This window comes from Homo sapiens, chromosome 17, assembly GCF_000001405.40.
Source record: "Homo sapiens chromosome 17, GRCh38.p14 Primary Assembly".
NCBI lineage: Eukaryota > Metazoa > Chordata > Mammalia > Primates > Hominidae > Homo > Homo sapiens.
Genome location: NC_000017.11, coordinates 36,718,572 through 36,737,841, shown reverse-complemented (window position 1 = coordinate 36,737,841; position 19,270 = coordinate 36,718,572). Strand labels below are relative to the sequence as shown.

The 19,270-nt window shown below is 50.7% G+C and overlaps 1 long non-coding RNA gene across 3 annotated transcripts in view; it reads right to left on the bottom strand.

Moving 5' to 3' along the window:
- LOC105371750 (uncharacterized) overlaps nucleotides 1-19,270 on the bottom strand; it is a 115,553-nt gene that overhangs the window by 35,605 nt on the left and 60,678 nt on the right. For 2 of the 3 annotated variants that reach the window (XR_007065730.1, XR_002958156.2), the window contains exons 3-4: nucleotides 4,399-4,704; nucleotides 2,680-2,783 (exon numbers count right to left, since the gene is read on the bottom strand). This is a non-coding gene — a long non-coding RNA (uncharacterized LOC105371750). Of the gene's footprint in view, nucleotides 1-2,679; nucleotides 2,784-4,398; nucleotides 4,705-12,461; nucleotides 15,317-19,270 lie in introns of those variants that run through there. The other variant, XR_001752870.2, reaches the window with a different exon arrangement.

Here is a 19,270-nt window from a genome sequence, read left to right as displayed (position 1 = left end):
TTCTTCTTTTGGGAAATGTTTATTCAGGTCTGTTCCTTGATTTTTAATCAAATAATTTGTTTTTTCTGAGACAGGGTCCCAAGCTGGAGTGCAGTGGCAAGACCATGGCTCACTGTAGCCTCAACCTCCTGGGCTCAAGCAATCCTCCCTCCCCAGTCTTCTGAGTAGTTTTCTGCTACTGAGTTATTTGAGTTCCTTACATCTTCTGGAGAGTAACCCCTTATCAGATGCATAGTTTGAAAATACTTTCTCCCATTCTGTACCTCACTCTGCTGATTGTTTTCTTTGCTGGGCCAAAGTTTTTCAGTTTGATGTCATCCCACTTTCTTCTTCTGCTTTTGTTGCTTGTGCTTATGAGGTCTTATCCAAAAGAACTTTTCCCAGACCAATGTCATAAGGCATTTCCCCCATGTTTTCTTCTAGTAGCTTTATAGTTTGGGGTCATGTGGACTCTTAAGGCTAGAAAGGACCTTAGAAATCAGCTTACCCAACTCTTCACTATCCAGATGGAGAAACTGAGGCACAGGGAGGGGTGTGCTGGAAGTTACCAGCATTTAGGTGGCAGTGTTGCTGGTGAGATCTCTCAGCACAATCCTTGGATTGAGGGGCAAGGATGGGTGATGTCCTCTCATTGTTCTAAGAGGTTGCCAAAAAATCGTGCTGGGGACAGGTGAACCAAGATACAGAGAAAGGGGCGGCATTAGTTTCCTAGCACTGCTGCAGCAAATTGCCACAAGTTTGGTGGCTTCAAGAGACAGAAATGTATTCTCTCACAGTTTCAGAGTCCAGAAGTCTGAAATCAAGGTGTTGGCAGGGCTGCTTCCTTCTGGAGGATCTGAAGGAGGATCTATTCCTTGTCTTTCTCCCACCTTCTGGAGGCTGCTGGCAATCTTGGTGTTCCCGGGCTTGTAGCTGGGAGTCATTCCAATCTCTGCCTCTGTCCTCACATGGCCTTCTTCTCTATGTTTCTCTGTGTCTCAAATCTGCCTCTTCTGTCTCTCATAAGGAAACCAGCCATTGGATTTAGACCCACCCTGAATTCAGGATGATGTCATCTCAAAATCCTTAATTACATCTGCAAAGACTCTATTCTAAATAAGGTCACGTCACGGGCACTGGGATTTAGGTTTTGGCCATATCTTTTGATGAACACAGTTGAACCTGCTCCGAGAGCTCCCAGGGTCACCATGGAGGAGGGGAGAGCGGTAGCAGCCCCAGAGGCGACCGTCTCGGTGATGGCCTATCCTCCCAGGCCGGGGCATGCCCTCCTTTCTCATTCTCACCCTGCAGATGAATAAATTCAGACCTGCTGCTGGCTCCTGCCACTGGGGCCAAGGCCAGATGTATATTGGGAGCACCAGGTCTTTGAGGGACCTTTTCACGTCTTCCCACTTGAGGGGCACTGTGCTGGATGCTGGGGAGGAGCCGAGTTCCTCTTTCCGAGGCTCTCACAGTCTCCCGAGGGAGCCAAACCCAAACTCCCACATGGAGGCCTGAGACTGCGGGGCAGAGGCCAACACAAAGCTGTGGGGCTGCTGAGGGGACAAGGAGGAGATGCAGGAGGGACAGGAAGTGAAGAGAAGGATTTTGAAGGAGAGAAGTGGTGAGGAGGTTCCCATGTGAGGGCCAGGGCCCTAAGAGCCCTTGGTTCAGAGAAATGCTGCAGCCTGTGTGATTCTGGGGGCGGGTGCCTGGAGGACCCTCTGCTGGAGTGCCCAGGATGACCCCAGGGGATTCTTACCACATCTGGTGTCATGGGCTGACCCCTCTGCCAGGCTCTGAGCTCCTGAAAACAGAGGCTAGGCATTCCATTACAGCATCCCCAGCACGAGGCCTGGCATGCCCCTTGGGAACCTCAAAGTAGAGGACCACCCACCAATCTCACCTCCGACACATTATTACCCCATTATTACCAATTATTACCATCAGTGACTGACTCCACAGTGTCTTTCTTTCCATGCTTGTGTTTTCTGTTGTTGTTGTTGTTTGTTGTTGTTGTTTTTGATAAAGTTTTGCCCAGGCTGGAGTACAGTGACGTGATCATGGCTCACTGCAGCCTCAACCTCCCGGGCTCAGGTGATCCTCCCACCTCAGCCTCCCAAGTAGCTGGGACTACGGGCATGTGCCACCCACCCAGATAACTTTTTATTTTTTATAGAGATGGAGTCTCCCTATGTTGCCCAGGCTGGTCTTGAACTCCCAGGCTAAGTGATCTTACTACTTTGGCCTCCCAATGTGTTGGGATTACCAGCATGAGCCACCTCGCCCAGCCTCTTGGTTTCTTTATGTACCACCATGGATACACACATGCACACACACACACCCCCTTCAAGGATTGGAGACAGCTTGCAGAAAATGCCCAACAGGGTAAAATAAAATTTAAATAAGTGGAGGTGAAATTGGGACCAAGGGAAAATGTGGGTGGAGATACTAATATCGGCATCATGCGTTGAGTGCCTGCTGTACACAGGATGCAAATTGGTGCTTCCAATTTCTCAGGGGAGGAATGGAGCCCAGCTAGGGAGGAGACTGGTCATCTCAGGCTCCCAGAGCTTTACATTTGGAAAAGCTCCTGGAAGTGCCTGAATTCAGTCTTCTACACAAAGTGAAATGCTCTCTACTTCATTACTTCACTGCTCATTTGTTAATTTATGCAACAAATCCTTATAGAGCACCTACTGTGTGCCTGCTGATAAGCACTGGTCAGAGCCAATCCTCGCTCTTCACGAAGTGCCCTCCGTGGGTGGTCTCTCTGGTGCCACTTGCTCTGTTGCTCTGTTCTGCTGCAGGGAAGATGGACACAGGTGCAGAGATGAGGCCCAGCCCGCCAGGGCCTCTTAATAAGACAGACAGTGGAGCCCAGACCCACCTAGGTTTTCTGGAATGAGAAAGACATCAGTGCTGAGCATTCTCCTACATTGCATTTCATTGAATGTGTCATAATGAATTGTGATTCTGGGCTGGAAGCTCAGCTTCTCTGTGCCTCTGAAACCTCATTAGTAAGGTGGAGAAATGTACCAATGTTGGTTTCTTAGTTTTGAAAAAATACTATGCTGGCCGCTGACGTAAGATGTTAACAGTAGGGGAAGCTGGGTGGGGAGCTTATGGGAACTCTCTGCACTACCTCTGTGACTTTTCCATATAGCTGAAATTATTCTAAAGTGAAAAGTTTATTTAAACAATTAAAGGACCTGTCTGACACATTGGCTGTGAGGAAGACTTACTCAGAACACTGTTGTTTTGTTTTGTTTTGTTTTTTGAGATGGAGTCTCGCTCTGTCACCCAGGCTGGAGTGCAGTGGCGCTATCACGGCTCACTACAACCTCCCCCTCCCAGGTTCAAGCGATTCTCCTGCCTCAGCCTCCCGAGTAGGTGGGATTACAGGTGTGCACCACCAGGCCCGGCTAATTTTTTGTATTTTTGGTAGAGACGGGATTTCACCATGTTAGCCAGACTGGTCTCAAATTCCTGACCTCAGGTGATCCACCCACCTCAGCCTCCCAAAGTGCTGGAATTACTGGCATGAGCCACTGTGCCCAGCCCAGAGTCTCACTTTTTTTGCCCAGGCTGGAGTGCAGTGGCACAGTCTTGGCTCACTGCAACCTCTGCCTCTGGGGTTCAGGCAATTCTCCTGCCTCAGCCTCGCGAGTAGCTGGGATTACAGGTGTGCACTACCATACCTGGCTAATTTTGTGTTTTTAGTAGAGATGGGGTTTCACCACGTTGGCCAGGCTGCTCTCAAACTCCTGACCTCAAGTGGTCCACCCACCTCAGCCTCCCAAAGTGCTGGGATTACAGGCGTGAGCCACCACGCCCCGCCAGCACACTGTTAAGCATTGGTCATTGTTACTGGATTCTCACAAGCTATTGTGATGGAGATTTCTAATTCCCATGTTTCAGACTAGCCTCAGAGAAGTTCTGTGACTTGCCTGAGGTCACGCAGATAGCATCAGGCAACATCTGGATTTGAACTCAGGCCTGACATGCTCCAAAGGCCACAATTCTTCTACCACACTGTGCCCCCTTCTAGCATCTCAGTGCTTTTAGTGACAAGGACATGACCACTTTGCCTGGAACAGTTCTGTGAGGTGGGAACTGATCATTATAGTTAGAAATTATCAAATGTGCCTTCCTGTACATTTCATGTAGGCATATTTTCCTGTAGCTTTCATGGGTTGATCTTGGCTCCACTGCTTAGGATTGCATACAGCACATCTCCATCCTGTGCCCCATGCAGCCCTCAGGTGTGTTAAGCAGAATCCACATTCTATGCTGAGGTCAAGCTCCGTGGTGCGCCCCCCGACCCATAGCACAGCCAGAATGCATTGCTCAGGCCTCAGTTCCAAAGACCAAATGGATGTCCACCTTCCCCAGCCCTAGTCCCCTGAGCAGGCTCACCTCATTTGGTCAGCTTCCCTCTTTAAGTGAGGGGCTCAGAGCAGACCCAGGGCTCTGGGTGAGGCCCCCTCATGCTGAGCCATTCTCTTCCTCAAGGGATCTGAACGTCTTGGTTCTGCTCCTGCAACCTGGGAGTAAGGTAGCTTTAGAGCAGCCTTCTCTTGCTACCCAGATGAGGTAAGAAGAGCATGATCCAGGCTGCTGGAAGCTGCAAGTCAGAAGACACAAGCGTTCAGTCCTGGTGTCTCTGTGCGGTGGTGTGGTCTTGGGCGGTCCTTTAACTCTCCTAGGCCTCAGTTTCCTCATCTGTAATATACAAAGATCAATAACGATACTTCTTGTCCCCTCCTACCTCCCAAATGAGCCTGGAATGAGACAGGACGCCCAAGCTTTGGCCGTCCCGCAACCCTTAATATTTCCCTACAGATGAGCACATCCCACGAGGGACCCTAATGCCAGTTTTCTTGCATTTTTCCCCAGGAAGTGTGTGATTTCCTTTAGGGCAGCAACTCTGTTTTATTTACCTTTAGATTCCCCAGTGCCTAATAAGATTAACATCAGAAAACACTTACACAGCACTTAGTCTGGGCCATGGTCAAGCTTGTGAGGTAGATCCCATTATTACCCTTATTTTATAGACGAAGAAGCTGAGGCACAGAGAAATCCCCAGTGCTGTACCTGGCACAAACACGTGTCCAACATCTGGCTTTGTTAGATGGATGCAAGGGTGGATGGGTGAATTAATGAGGGGCCTGGTGGATGAGTAAGTGGATGAGTGGGTGGATGGAAGGATAGATGGATGGACACATGGGTGGGCAGAGGGATTAGTAAATAGATGAGTGTATAGGTGAGTGGGTGAGAGTGGGAAGGTGCGTGGAAGGATGAAAGAATGGATAGGCAGATGGATGGGGAGATGAGCGGATGGGTAAATTGATGAGTGAATGGATGAATGGATGGATGGATGGTGGCAGGCGGATGGATGGTGGCAGGTGGATAGATGGCAGATGTGTGGATGAGCGAGTGAATGGATGAGAGTGGATGAGTGGACCGGTGCATGGTTAGTGGTTAAGTTCTTGTGTTATCAAGTCCTGAGAGTGGGGAGATAATTTTGGGACCATTTAAATGGTGCAGGCATTTAGAAATAGCAAAGGAAACCTCTTCACCCTAACAGTGAGAAGACCCTAGGAGCAGGAGTTCCCCTCCCATCCGACCCATCCACCCAGCCCAGATCCCTGGGCAGGCAGCCATCTCCCATGCCTGCAGATCTCTTCTCCCCCACCCCTGACACTGCCCCCGGGCAGCCCCCCATGCCTGTGGATGAAAGGTTGGCAGAGGCAGCAGGTGGGCGGGCATCTTGTTCCCTCATTGTTGGTGGTAACCTTCCTCCCAGCTGCTTGTTCTGCGTAATGTTACACTTGTCTTCCTGCAACACTTGGATACCCGAGCCAATTTTGTTATGCAAATGAATTCAGCCCATTGTAAATCCCAAGGAGTGAGTGCGTGCCTCGCCAAGACAGCGGAGGCGGGGCTGCGCTGGGATATGAGGCTTTCCTGCTGCCCCTTTCAGGGCACAGAGGAAGGGGGTTACAGACCTTTGCTGCAGACTTCTGGCCCTTTCCTCCTAGAATCCGAGACCATTAGAGCCAGAACAGGCCTTAGGGATGGATTCTCTCCAATTATTGGTTAAAAATCTGAGGCCCAGAGAGGGCCAGTGTATTGCCCACAGCCACACAGCCCATTAGCCAGGGTTCAGCCAAGTTTCCTGACTCTCAGGAAATAACTCTCAGCCATAACTCTCTCTGTGAGGTTGAGCTGAGCCTGCCACCCTGAATCTACCCCTGCACCCAACCCAAGCTGCAGGGGAACCCTGAGACCTTCCAGGGTCCAGAACCTCCCAGTAGCTAGCTGTGTTACAGGGCACGGAACTGACATGTGGACTAGGGACAGGTCTGGCCTGGACAGCCAAAAGGGTCTAGGGAACAGTCTGTGGGTCTAGGCAGGTGTAGGTCACATCTAGGGATGTTGGCAAGGCTGGGCTGACAGGTATTACCGGTTGGGGGCGAGGGTGGAGTGAAATGCCAGGTGTTCTGCCAAGGAGGACAGGCTGGGACCAAAGCCAGGACATCACTGTCAGCAAAAGCAAGGGAGACAATGCTTGGGCACAGGGCAGATGATGAGTGACAGCCCACAGGGCTGCCTGCAGGTGAGCGCTGCCTGAGGAGGGCAAGGACAAGGTACTGGGACACACTGCCCCAGCTGGAATGCTGGCAGCCTGTGGTGGGTGGGGGAGGGAGAACTGGCATTTGTTTCAAGGCTGCGACATGCCAGGCACTTCACACCATCCCCAGATAATTCTCACAGTTATGCTTGGAGACAGCTGTTGTCCCCACTTTATAGATTAGAAAACTGAGTCCAGGGAGGTTACATGCCTAGCCCCCAAAGTCACACAACTTGAAACGGAGATTTAATTTTAAATCCATGAGATGCAGGCATTCCAGAGTCTATGCTCTTTCCGCTCCACATTCTGCCACTCCTGCCAGGCTCTGCCATCATTTATCAGCCCCTTATTGAGTTCACTAACTCAATAACAGCTGGGGACATTGCGGGGCAGGGAGTTGACAAGGGCAGTGGTCACTGGTAGAGCCCAATTTTCCAGGAGGTGAGCATTTCCAGCTATTTGGAACACTCAGGGGACCCCATTGATGCACTGGATAAAGCCCTGTCTTCTTCCTCTGGCATTTGAGGTTCTTCCCAACATGCCTCCCCCTCCCCTATGCACACACCCACCTCCTCACTGTTCCCACTCATCCCGCGCTCTTCTTTGCCTCCGGGTCTTTACACAGGCTGTTCCCTCTGCTTGGAATGCCCTTCCCCACCGTGTCCACTATCTAATCTTCCAGTCTTGACTCTACTGTCTCCTGGGCTCTCCATTCCCCACCCTGGACCAGGCTGGCTCCTCCCTCCTCTGTACTCCTGTAGTTTTCTCATTCACTGCACTGGTTGTTTGTAAGAACTTTTATTGTGTTGGTTTTCCCCACTAGTCCTACAGGGCCAGAGTGGCTCCTGTGCTCATACTGCAGATTCTGTGGTCAGCGACCCCCAGGCTGACCCTCTAGACTCCCCAGCGTCTGTCCGGAGCCCCTCTTCCAGTCTGTAGTCCATCTCCCCCTCAATCACTAAATCCCTGCGCTGTTGATGCTGCCCCTCTCAGTTGGCCTGAGCCAAACCAAATGCAGATCAATCAACTGCTAAAAGCGCTGGCATTTCCAAGCCTGGCCCAGGTCATTCTGAGGAGGCAAGAGACCAGAACAGCCTCAGATATGGGCTCAGGGTCCCTGGGGCTGGTGGCAGGGCCTTGGGTCCCCTCTTCCCCTGATGGCTGCAGCCATGCACCAGTACTCTCCTGCCTGGCCAGCCTCCCAGGCAGAAGCAACCCAGAAGGCAGGATGCTGCCAAAGAAAGCATGCAAGGTTTTGCCATGGCTGTGAGACCCGGTCCTTTGTCCAGTTCTGCCTGGAGCCTGCGGTGTGCCCTGAGCTGGGCCCTTTCTTCCCTGGGCTCAGTTCTCATCAGCCAACTGAAAGGAATGGACTCAGACAACGCCAAGGCCTCCCCTCTATGGGAGCATGTGACAAGGATAAAACATTCACTTACAGCTCAGATGCCTTTCCCTGGAGGCCCCACCCTGGGTCAGATGAAGGAAGCAGTACTGAGCTGTCCAGAAGGTCCTTAGGGCCACCAGAGGAACAATCATTATAAAGATAATAACAGGCTTACCGAGCACTTAGTGTGTCCAGGCAACGTGCTAACAAACCTTCTTCTATAAACTATCTCATCAGTCCTTTCAACCACCCTATGAAGTGGGCTACATTATTGTTCCCATTTCACAGATGGGAAAGGGGCCAGAGAAGTGTCCCCCTCCCAGGCTACACAAAGCCCAGTTCTGCTGACCTAGCCTCTAGTCTTTCACTGCACAGCTTGTCCCCATCTGGCCTTAGGCTTGGCTTGAGGACACTGTGAACCTCTCTGCCCAGGTCTGCCTGCCCCCTTTGCTGGAGAGGGTAGTTCCATAGTAGATGGAGGGAGGAGGATGGCTGGGGGGTTACACACAGTGCGCCCATGACCACAGTGCCCGCACATTCCCCAGTGCCTGGCTTCTCATGGGCACTCCAAGAAAATGTGCTGGAGGAAGGGAGGGAGGGAGGGACCCACAGGTATTAACAGTATATGACCCCTCCACATCTCCACGTGGACAGTGGACTGGGTTATGGGAGGCTCCCATCTCTCAGCCACTGCACAGGCGAGGCATGGATCTGGATAAATACCCCAGAATCAGAGGAACCTGCTCTGCCCTCCCTCAGTAGGAGGCCCCAGACACACCCCTTCCCCTCTCCAGACCTCAGTTTCCCCCTCTGTGCAATGTCAGAATGGAACCAAAGAATTGCCTGCACTGCAACCCCTCCTCATTGCTCTGCCATAAACCCCCAGAGCTCAGGGAGCCCCTGGGTGTCCCCGACTGGCACCCCTGCAGCCGACCACACTGCGGGCACCATCCAAGCGCTCCCCTCGGCCATTCATCCAGGGCCACGGGGTCCTCCAGCTGCCCGCACTCATGCCGCCGCCTTTTGCTTTTGCTGGCATAATGTATGCCCCGTGCTGCCGCCCCAGTCACTCAATCCCGGCCGGTCTGCGGAGGCAGAGATAGTCCTTAATGAGAAGAGCCTGGGCTTTATCTGCTTTCTACTTCAGCCATTATCTCCCCCAGTCTACAGACACGCAGTTACCTCTGACAATAACGCTCAGAGGCAACAAATGCTGATGAGTTTTCTATGCAGTCCGCACAATAAGTCTATCAAAACAACCTCAGAAAATTATGAACCCCCGTGACAGACAAATACAGCCGGCTTCGGCGTGAATTTAGAGCCCCAACGCTACGTTTCTTTTAATTCTTCAGGCTTCCCTTATCTCTGCTGTTCCTCTTCTGGTGAGGAGATAACAGTAATTCTTCTCTGTGCTGGGTTGTTGTTTTTTTTTCTTTCCTTGCCCCCCTTGCTTTTTTTTTTTTTTCCACCCACTGAGTGAGATGTTTTCCATGTCTTTCTGCTTGCTAAAGATAAAGGGTTAAAGACCAACTTATGTTGGGTGCTGGGGAAGGGGGGAGGGGGCAGGGGAGAGGGGAAAAAAGTAATCAGCATTCAAGAGATTGCTATCAGAGAAACCGCGCAGAGAACAGTAATTTTGCTGGCTTCGGCGAGGGTTCTCTCCACTCCACCCCCCCTTTTTTATGAATGCACATAATGCCTGGAGTGTTGGGGGCAGATAAAAGAATTAGCAGCAGCCAGGGGGACGGAGGCCTGGAGAACGGGGGAGAATTAGAATGTCTATCTTTGTCTCTTCCGGCTCATCCAACCAGCAGAGGCTCCCGGCTCGTAAACAATTTAATCTTTTTGCTACAGTTAAAATACAAAGACAGCAAGCCTCCTTCTTCCAAATGGAAAAGGGAGGAGGAGCAGGACAGGAGGAGGAGGATTGGGTTGGGGGCTTGTCGGGGGACATGGTGTAGGATGAGGGAGAGGGAGCTAGAAAAGGGCTGACACCACAAACCTTCCTGCTGCCTGCCTAACCCGTTGGCCCTTGAGACCTTAGAACTGCCAACACTGTCCCCGCTGGGGGACACATACAACCCCGGCCTGGTTGGGTCCAGCCAACCTCCCAGGCAGGAGGCTCAGCCACTGGGGGTGGGAGTCTTGCTCCTGTCAAGGGGCCCTGGTTCCTGTCTTCCTGGGAGGTGGCAGCTGTTGGCTGTCCCAGGATTCTGCCCTTGGTCATCCCACTGTCAAGGTCTGTCCTTTTTTCTCCTCCTCTTCCTTCCTGTCCCACTGGCTTGCTCTTCTCCTGAGCCTAGGCTCTGGTGAGAGCTCTCAAGTCATGCCTTCTCTTCCCCACCAGGATAGGGAATCCTGTGGTGGCTCTGCCCACATGCTCCCCACACAGGGCAAGAGTGGGGCTCACTGCATAGAATGGGGGCTCCGGCTCTTCAATTACTGCCCAAGACCCGCCACGGAGAAAGGCTGAGATGGGATATAAGCATGCATGTGTGCCTCCATCTCTCTTGCTATCTTACATACACACACAGTGGGATGGACAGAACTCGAGGGAAGAATGCCACTTAGAAGGAGGTGGAGCCCTTCTAAAGACAGATCATTTGGAGGGACCTGAAAGTTAACCAGAATAAAGAAGCCTCCTGAGGGGCCCTGCGGGTAGAAGATTAGAGGAAGGCGCACCCTTCCATCCCAGGAAGGCCCGTGGCCCATGCAATTGATCTGCTGGGCATCCTCAGGGTCGATTCTATCCCCATTGCTTGAGGTACCCCCAGAGTGTGGGTTGTTTTAGCCATTCTGGCTGGACCCTTGTCATGTGCAACATGAAAAGTCCAGTTTTCACAGGACCAAGTTGGAGGCTGGTTTCTCTTCTCTGCCCTTGGAGTGCCGAACCCAATGTATTGGCCTTGAATGTACTGCCCTCTCTTGCTTGGGAGCTCTGAAAGGTCTTCCTCACCTCTGGACACCCGAGCCTAGCACAATGCCTGGCCAAGCCTGCCAAGTGCTTGCTAGGTGAAAAAAGGTAGATGAATAGACAAGCGAATGAATGAAGTCAAATCAAACAGGGCAGGTGGTGGAGGGGTGGGTGAAAGAGGAGCTTCCTGGGGCACCAGACACACACTTGAGGAGAGACCACTCAGGAAAAGGATGAGGGCAGAAGCAACAAGAAAGGAGAGCTAAGGGACCACAAGGAGAAGGACAGGGTGTGGTCCAGGGAGCTGGTCGGTCTCTTCATCCCAGGCTCCATCGGCTGGAGCCATCCCCAGGAAGGCATGCGGGAAAATCATGAGCCTTGGGGTCAAGGAATCTGGGTTCTGAGCCACAGTTCCCCATCTGTAAAATGGAAATAGTCATGACCTCCATCTTACAGGGTTGGATTGGCACATAGCAGGGACCCAGCATGTGTTGGTCACACTAAAGAGACGATGTAGTTCCTTGTAATGACAAGCATAGCAGACTCAATAAACCAAGGATGTCAAAACCACAAAACCATCTCGAAGCTCCACAGAGATGCTTTCATTTGTTATTATTATTTTCTTAGTTATCCTTCCACTGCCCTTTACCCCTTGGAAAACAGGCTGGACTGAACCACAAAGTGAGGGATAAAGCTGCTTCCTCCAGCTCCTGTGTCTCCTCTCAAGGCTGGGGAGTGCGGAGTTCAGGAGAAGATCTTTGAGGACTCTGTGGAGGTGGAGTTCTGGCCAAAGGAAGTGGATGTAGTAACCAGCTCTTTCTATAGCTTTGCAGATCATGCCCGGCCTTCTCTCTTTCCCTTTTGGTTGCTTCATGTCTCTGATCTGGGCCAAGCTCTCCTTCCAGTCCCAATTTCAAGCCCCACTGAGACACGCACCCTTCCTCACCCTCAACTCCAATATTCCCCCATGTGGTTAAGCAGACATGGGAGTGGAACATGGCTATGAACACAGGCTTGTATAAACAATATTTAAATTATAATTGAATGTTTAACATTTATATCCTACAATCTGATATCAATTATTTTCAAATGTACATTAAATATTTATCATCTTGATCATATCCTAAGCCAGGATATCCCAAATTGTCCACATATCAGAGTCACTTGGGCAGCTTTAAAAAACATTAGTTCTGAGCCCAAGCCTGGAGATTCTGATCAGTATGTGTGTGTGTGAGACAGACTGAATTTTGGATTTGAGGGGCAAGAAAGTAGATTTCTAAAAAGATCCCAGGTGATTCCATTGAGAAGCCTGGTTTGAGATCTGCTATCTTTAGCCACAAAGAAATGGGCTTCATTTTCTGCATTAATTCAATAAATACTTTCTGAGCACCTGCTATTTGTCTTCATGTGTGTTGGGAGGGGAGGAAGTGAGGGGAGATAAAAAAAAAAAAGAAGCATAGGGTACAATAAAGCAGTCTAGAAATCTCGCTATAGATCCCCACTCCCCAGCTTCAATCCAAAAACCCCACCCATCAGTGATTTCTCACCTTCTGAAATCCACAGGGCTTGGTGCTTGTTCTCTAGTTGGGAATAGAGCAGGAACACACATTAATTAAGGATCTACTAAGTGCCAAACACTACACGAAGGATTTAACTGTACATACGATCACATTTAATCCTCACAAAATCCTTAGTTAGTAGCCGTTATTATTTGCATGTTATTAATGAGGAGATAGAGGCACAAAGAGGCTGAGGAACTCACACAAGTTCCCAAAGCTATAATATAAAGTGCAAAGGTCATCTCCGCCCTCCCCGTTCCCCTAAAATTGTATACTGCCTAAGCACAGGGCTTCTAATTCTATTTCTTTGTTATTAATCACAGTGCCTAGCATTCAGTCATCCATTCAGAAAAACTGATAAATCACCCACTGTGTGCAAGGCACTAAACTGTGGGGGATAGTTATATAAGACCCTGGCCTGAAGGAATGTAGAGTTTAGGAGGGAATGCAGGTAATTGCACAAATAACTCAGAAGCAAGGAGAGAGGCAGCAGCAAGTGATCGGAATTCGGTAGAGATTCCTTCCAGCTTCAGGGACTCAGAATCTCAGAAATCCAGGGTCCTTGGCAAACATTAAGGTCTTATTTCATCAGAGAGGTGAAACACCGCACCCAAGGTCACACAGCTGGATGCGCCATAAATACGTGATGAATTGAATGAGATTATTCACCAACTCCAATTACATCTTAACCACTAATAACTTGGCTCTGGCTCACCTAATGGGATTTCCTCCTTGGACATCAGCCTTCCCTTCCCCCTTCCATTGACATCAGCCAATTAGAGAAGGGCAGGTGCTGTGATTGGGGTCACAGTGAGAGGAAGAGAGGGAGAGGACCACAGCTCACTCCCATTCTAGGCTGAGAAGGTGATCAGTTTCGGGTGCTCACAGCCTCTTATGATGGAGAGTCTGGGAGAAGCTCACCCACGTGGAGAGGGGGCAGATTTGGAAGTCCAATTCCCCTGCCACGAATGCCCAGGAAACACCTGCTTTGGACTCAGCATCCATTATACTCTGAGACCAGCAGGCATGAGGAGAGATGTGGGGCCACATGCAGAGACATTCAGGCAGATCAACAAACCTGAAACAGACATAGACAAGGAGAGAAAAACTACCACAAGAAATACACATATGCATGGGAATAAACCAGGTATACCCCTACACAGAACCACAAAACTAGCTTCTGAGGGTCACAGAGACCCAGAAAGTCAGGCAGCCAGAGACACAGACACTAAGGGATTCTTAACAGAGCCAGATCTCCATTCATTTACTCCACAGAAATGTACTAGGCTCCTACTATGTGCACACATGGGAAGATAAAAGACAGTCTTTGCCCTCACAGAGCCCATGGTCTGGTAGGAGAATTCCAGCATGGAAATGGATATTACAATACAGTAAGCAAAAAACACAAAGATGAAAAGACGAGGCCCAGAGAAGCACAAGAAGAGAGCCAGGATTAGAAAAAGACATACAGACACCCAGAGGTGCCAAGACAGAACAAGGCAGAAGCGGAGACACACAGGTGCTCAGAACGAGAGCCACAGACAGATGTTCACAGATGCACACACATGCAGACACACACGTGCACATGCCAACACCTCTGCTGTACAGGAGAACAGAAGAAGGCCTCTTCCCAGGACCCTCCCTCAGCAGATCTCAAGCTTTCCCTTGTGGGAATGCCGGGGTTGGAGACAGCTAAGCTTTCTTCTTGAATGGTACACAGGCCCATGTGGGGCAGGAGTCAGGCCCTGATGCAGGCAAACAGATCTGGAGACGTGTGGGTAGATGACAGGAAGATGGCAGCTACTGGGGCTGCCCTCCATCTCCCAACTGTCCTGGGAGCCAAGGCCAAGGGCCCTGCTCCTGCAGACTCTGAGGCACAGCCCAGCTGTGGCTATGATGGCAATGCTTGGGCCAGCATAACCCTCCTTCAACCCGAGAGCCCCTCTGCTGGCCCCCTTGCAGAAGAAGTTACTCTCCCAATCTTAAGCAAGTCCTTAGAGCTCAAATTCTGCGGGTCTAGCTTAAAGCCCTCCCGCTGCAGCTTAAGTTCAACTCCAGCGTAAGAGTGTCGGAGCTCAAGGCCCCAGAATAGGTGCTACCAGGAGAGATGCCAGCTTCATGGTGATCCCAGCTCAGGAGCCTGGCCTGCTGGAAGGTACCTACAGCAGCACTCCCTCAAGAGAGGCGCTGGGCCCACCTCCACCACACTGAAGCTAAGTTGGGTGTGGGGATTTGCTCAAGATTCCACAGGGGTGGATTTGGAAAGGGTCTCGACTCCTCAAGCCACACGGCTTCCCCTGACAGCATCCGACCCCTGGTTCCTAGTAGAGTGGGGTGGGCCCCTAGGGGACCTGAACACAAGAGGTTGACCCCTGCCACAGCCCACACACAGGGGGTTGAAGAGGGTTTGGGTGTGGTTCTGGGAAAGAGGAGGGGGATGAGGACGTGAGCCCGCCCTGGCCACCCCACACTACCCTCCACGCCCCCAACAGCACAGGGTGGGACACCCAACAAGCTGGCCACACCCCACCTTCCACCCTGCCTGGCTGCCTCTTCTCACCACTTGAGCCCCGGGTGGCCTACTTTCCTCCGCCTCCTCCCGCACAGCGTTTCCTTCCGTCCAATACATTTGCTGGGGGGACGTCCTCACTTAGCTCAACACTGAGGTGTGGTGGTGACAAAAAACCACAAAACCTTAGGGAGCTGGCGGGCTGGCGAGGGAGGGGCGAAAGTGGCCGACCGCCAGCAAGTAACCCCACCAGTGGCTCCATCAAGGGCAGACAGGACTCGGAGAGGAAGAAGTGGCGCCGCAGGGGCTCCCCTGTCCCCGTCCTCCGTCCCAGCGTGGCTGTCCCTTGACCCCGCTGACCGCCCAGCCCCCTACGAGCTGGCCTCGCGTCCACAGCCCCGCAGGCCGCCCTGCGGCGAGCGCATGCGCGCTGGGGCCCTCCGGGCGGGGGTGCGCGGGTGGGGCGGGGTCGCACTGGCGGCCTCCGGAGACTGTGCACAGCGCGCCCGGCGTGCACCACGCACCGGGCCTGCCCCCCGGATGTTAAGTGCAGGGCCCACGCTTAAGTAGCAATTAAGGCTGCCAGGGAAGAAAGAGAAGACCAAACCGCCTGTTTATTTCCGTCCCTGACCTCCCCCATCACACACACCTCTTAGTTGGAAGAAAAGAGGGAAGGAGTGAGAGAGAAAGGAAAAAAAAAAAAGAGTAAACCAAACCTCACTGCAATTAGGAGTGCGGGCTGGGGAAAAAAAGATACGCATTAAATGGATGTTTCTGCACAAAAACCCCAGGCTGACAACATCTCTGGCCTTGTAAGGGGGAAATGACTGTGCCTCGGTGTTTACATAGCCGAAATCAGGGGGAATTATGCTGTCATACTGACAACTGTAGGAGGACAATTTTAAAATTACACCGTTCAACACCTTTAATGATTTGTAACAGAAGAGGTGTGGCTACTCCTATTAAATGTGTTGCCAAATCAATAAAAGGGATAATTGGAGTTGTTAGAGCAAATTATAGCAGCGTCTCTTCTGTTGCTGTACAATGTTCCCTTGTAAACTGCTATTACAGGCAGCGCCGTATTTCTCTCTTATTTGGCCGCTTTGTAATGAGTTGGCATTTTGCAGCATAATAGTTCCACTTTCTTTTATGGAGCTCTCACTTTAACTTTTTCTCCTTTGTGCAGCCTATAATTTCCTTGCCCTCCCTGCCTCCCTGCCTGTTTTCAGAGGTGGCCACACTGCCTGTCAGCAGCCTCTGGGTGATACTATATTATTTCACATTATTATCAGGCCTTTTCAATCGGCAGTCAGATGGGGTTGAGGGGTAGATGGGTCTGAGGGGATGGGGATACAGAAATGAGGGAAAGAGGAGACAGGGCCAGGAGGAGAACTAAAAAAATTTACAGAAATAGAAAGGAGAGGGTACAAGGGGACACGAGGTTGGCCTTGCTCCCAGGGGTGGGGGTCTGGCCCTTTCAACACAGGACTTTCAAGAGCCTTCAGAGCAGAGATTCTAGCTGTTGGTTTAGCTGTTGGGGTGAGGGGGTGTATAGTGCCCTGCCAGACCCCAGATTCACTCTCAGCACCCCAGAACCTCTGACTCTCCCTGCTCATAAAAACAAAACGGGCCGGGCACAGTGGCTCACGCCTGTAATCCCAACACTTTGGGAGGCTGAGGCTGGTGGATCACCTGAGGTCAGGAGCTCAAGACCAGCCTGCCCAACATGGTGAAACCCCGTCTCTACTAAAAACACAAAAATTAGCCAGGCGTAGTGGCATGCACCTGTAGTCCCAGCTACTCGGGACGCTGAGGCAGGAGAATCACTTGAACCCAGGAAGCAGAGGTTGCAGTGAGCCGAGATTGTGCCACTGCACTCCAGCCTGGACGACAAAGCAAGGACTCCATCTCAAAAACAAAAAACAAAAAAACTGATAAACAGCTCAAAACTAAGAAGCTGTTGATTCTCTCCGTTCCCTCAGGCACCAAGAGCTTAGGCAGAGCCACAGGAAGGGTGTGGGGCTGCACCTCTGGGAGCATCTTGGGACTCCCAGATGGATGGATCTTAGGGGATGGACAAGACATTCCCACTGCAGACAAAGCCTAAAGCCACTGGGAATGCTGAGGCACCGTGGTCCTGGCTGAGGCAGGTGATGAAGACTATCATAGGCCTGTTCCTGGTAATGTATCAGCTGCTCTAAACAGAGCACTGGGCCAGGAGTCCAGAAGCCTGGTTCCAGACTTGAAGGAGCCTCCTCGCCTCACCCACCTTCAGGGCTTGCCCCTGACTGGAAAGGACAGAACCCTTGGGCAGCTGGAGAATAATCTGGCTGTGTATATCATTCAGTTCCTGAGACAGCAATAAAAGCCCGGGCCCAGACAAACTTCACTCAGTCAGTCCCTGTGCTGGGCTGTAAGACAATCAATCTGAATTACCAAGAGGTCTCAATGAGAGACAATTGGAAAAGAAATGCCATTTTATTACTTCCATGGAGCTGCCATCCCTGGAACCCATCTGCTGCCAAGCAGCGCAGCAGCAGGACCCGCCACGATGAGCAGATAAGACTTGATGGTGGACAAATAAGATTCATTTGCAATGAGCAGCAGCAATTTGCTTGCCAACAATGAGCAAAGCCCTAATTCTCTTTGGTAGGTTCCTTGTGGCCTTTTGAGTGTCCTCTTTTTTCCATCCTTCATGATTCAAGGTAACTTTTTCCCAAGGGGGAAAATGAAGGTCAACCTGCCTGAGTGCAACCAGAGGAAGTTTGGGATTACTGAGTTTCAGTGAATACCATTTAGCATGTGACAGATTTCCAGGTACCAGTCACCAGCTTCTTAATTTAAACAATAATCAGTCCCATAAAGTCCCAGCAAAATGAAAACATATGAACAGTTCCATAGCATCTGCTTTTAAAAGGAGCTGACATTTTTCTTTATACTAGTCTATGCCAACAATGCTGCAATTCAACCAATAGTTAACTGTCAATCCCACCAATGTGTCTCCTCTGTTCCAAGCACTGTACTGAGGTGCTGGGATCCAGTGGAAAATGAAACACCATTGCTGCTCTCCTGGAGCTGACATTCTGATGTCCATCCGATAATAATAACAACGACGATAGTCATAACACAGCAATCCTTACACTAGAATTGTGTAAAAGCAACAGCAAAATGTTTTCACTCATCATCTCATCAGAGGCATTGGGGTACGGTGAAAAGAGCATTGAAGAATCAGGAAATGTGGCTTCTAGCTCCAGGTCTGCAACCTGAGGGCACCTTCCCTCTCAGAGCCTCAGTTTCTTAATTTGTAAACTGGAGGTGTACATGTTAGTCTGTTCTCACACTGCTATAAAGAACTACCTGAGACTGGGTAATTTATAGAGAGGTTTAATTGACTCACAGTTCTGTAGGCTATACATGAAGCATAACTGGGAGGCCTCAGGAAACTTACATTCATGGAGGAAGGTGAAATGGAAGCAGGCAAATGGCAGAGCAGAAGAAAGAGAGCAAAGGAGGAAGTGTTACACACTTTTTTTTTTTTTAGACGGAGTCTCGCTCTGTCGCCCAGGCTGAAGTGCAATGATGCAATCTCAGCTCACTGCAACCTCTGCCTCCCGGTTTCAAGCGATTCTCCTGCCTTAGCCTCCTGAGTAGCTGGGATTACAGGTGCATGCCACCACGCCAGGCTAATTTTTGTATTTTTAGTAGAGACAGGGTTTCACCACGTTGGTCAGGCTGGTCTCGAACTGCTGACCTCGTGATCCACCCGCCTTGGCCTCCCAAAGTGCTGGGATTACAGGCGTGAGCCACCGCACCCGGCCTGGAAGTGCTACACACTTCTAAACAACCAGGTCTCATGAGAACTCTACCACGAGACAGCACTAATGGTGCTAAACCACTAGAAACCGCCCTCATGATCCAATCACCTCCCACCAGGCCCCTCCTTCAACATGTGGAGATTACAACTTGACATGAGATTTGGGTGGGGACACACCATATCAGTGTATTTACTTATTCAACAAATATGCACTGTGGATCTACTATGTGTCAGGCACTACATTAGGCACTAGAGATGCAAAATGAGCAAGACAAGTGTAGGGTTTGCTCCTATGGATCTTACCGTCTAGTAGCAGAGACAGACATCAATCAAACAATCAGCATATAATTACAGAATATAAGATAAATGCTGGGAAGGAGAAGACACGAGCTTTTGTAATAGCTAAAACCTGGAAACAACTCACATGCCCAAAAGAGACCAGAGTGGCTGAAGTACAAGGGACAGAATGATCTT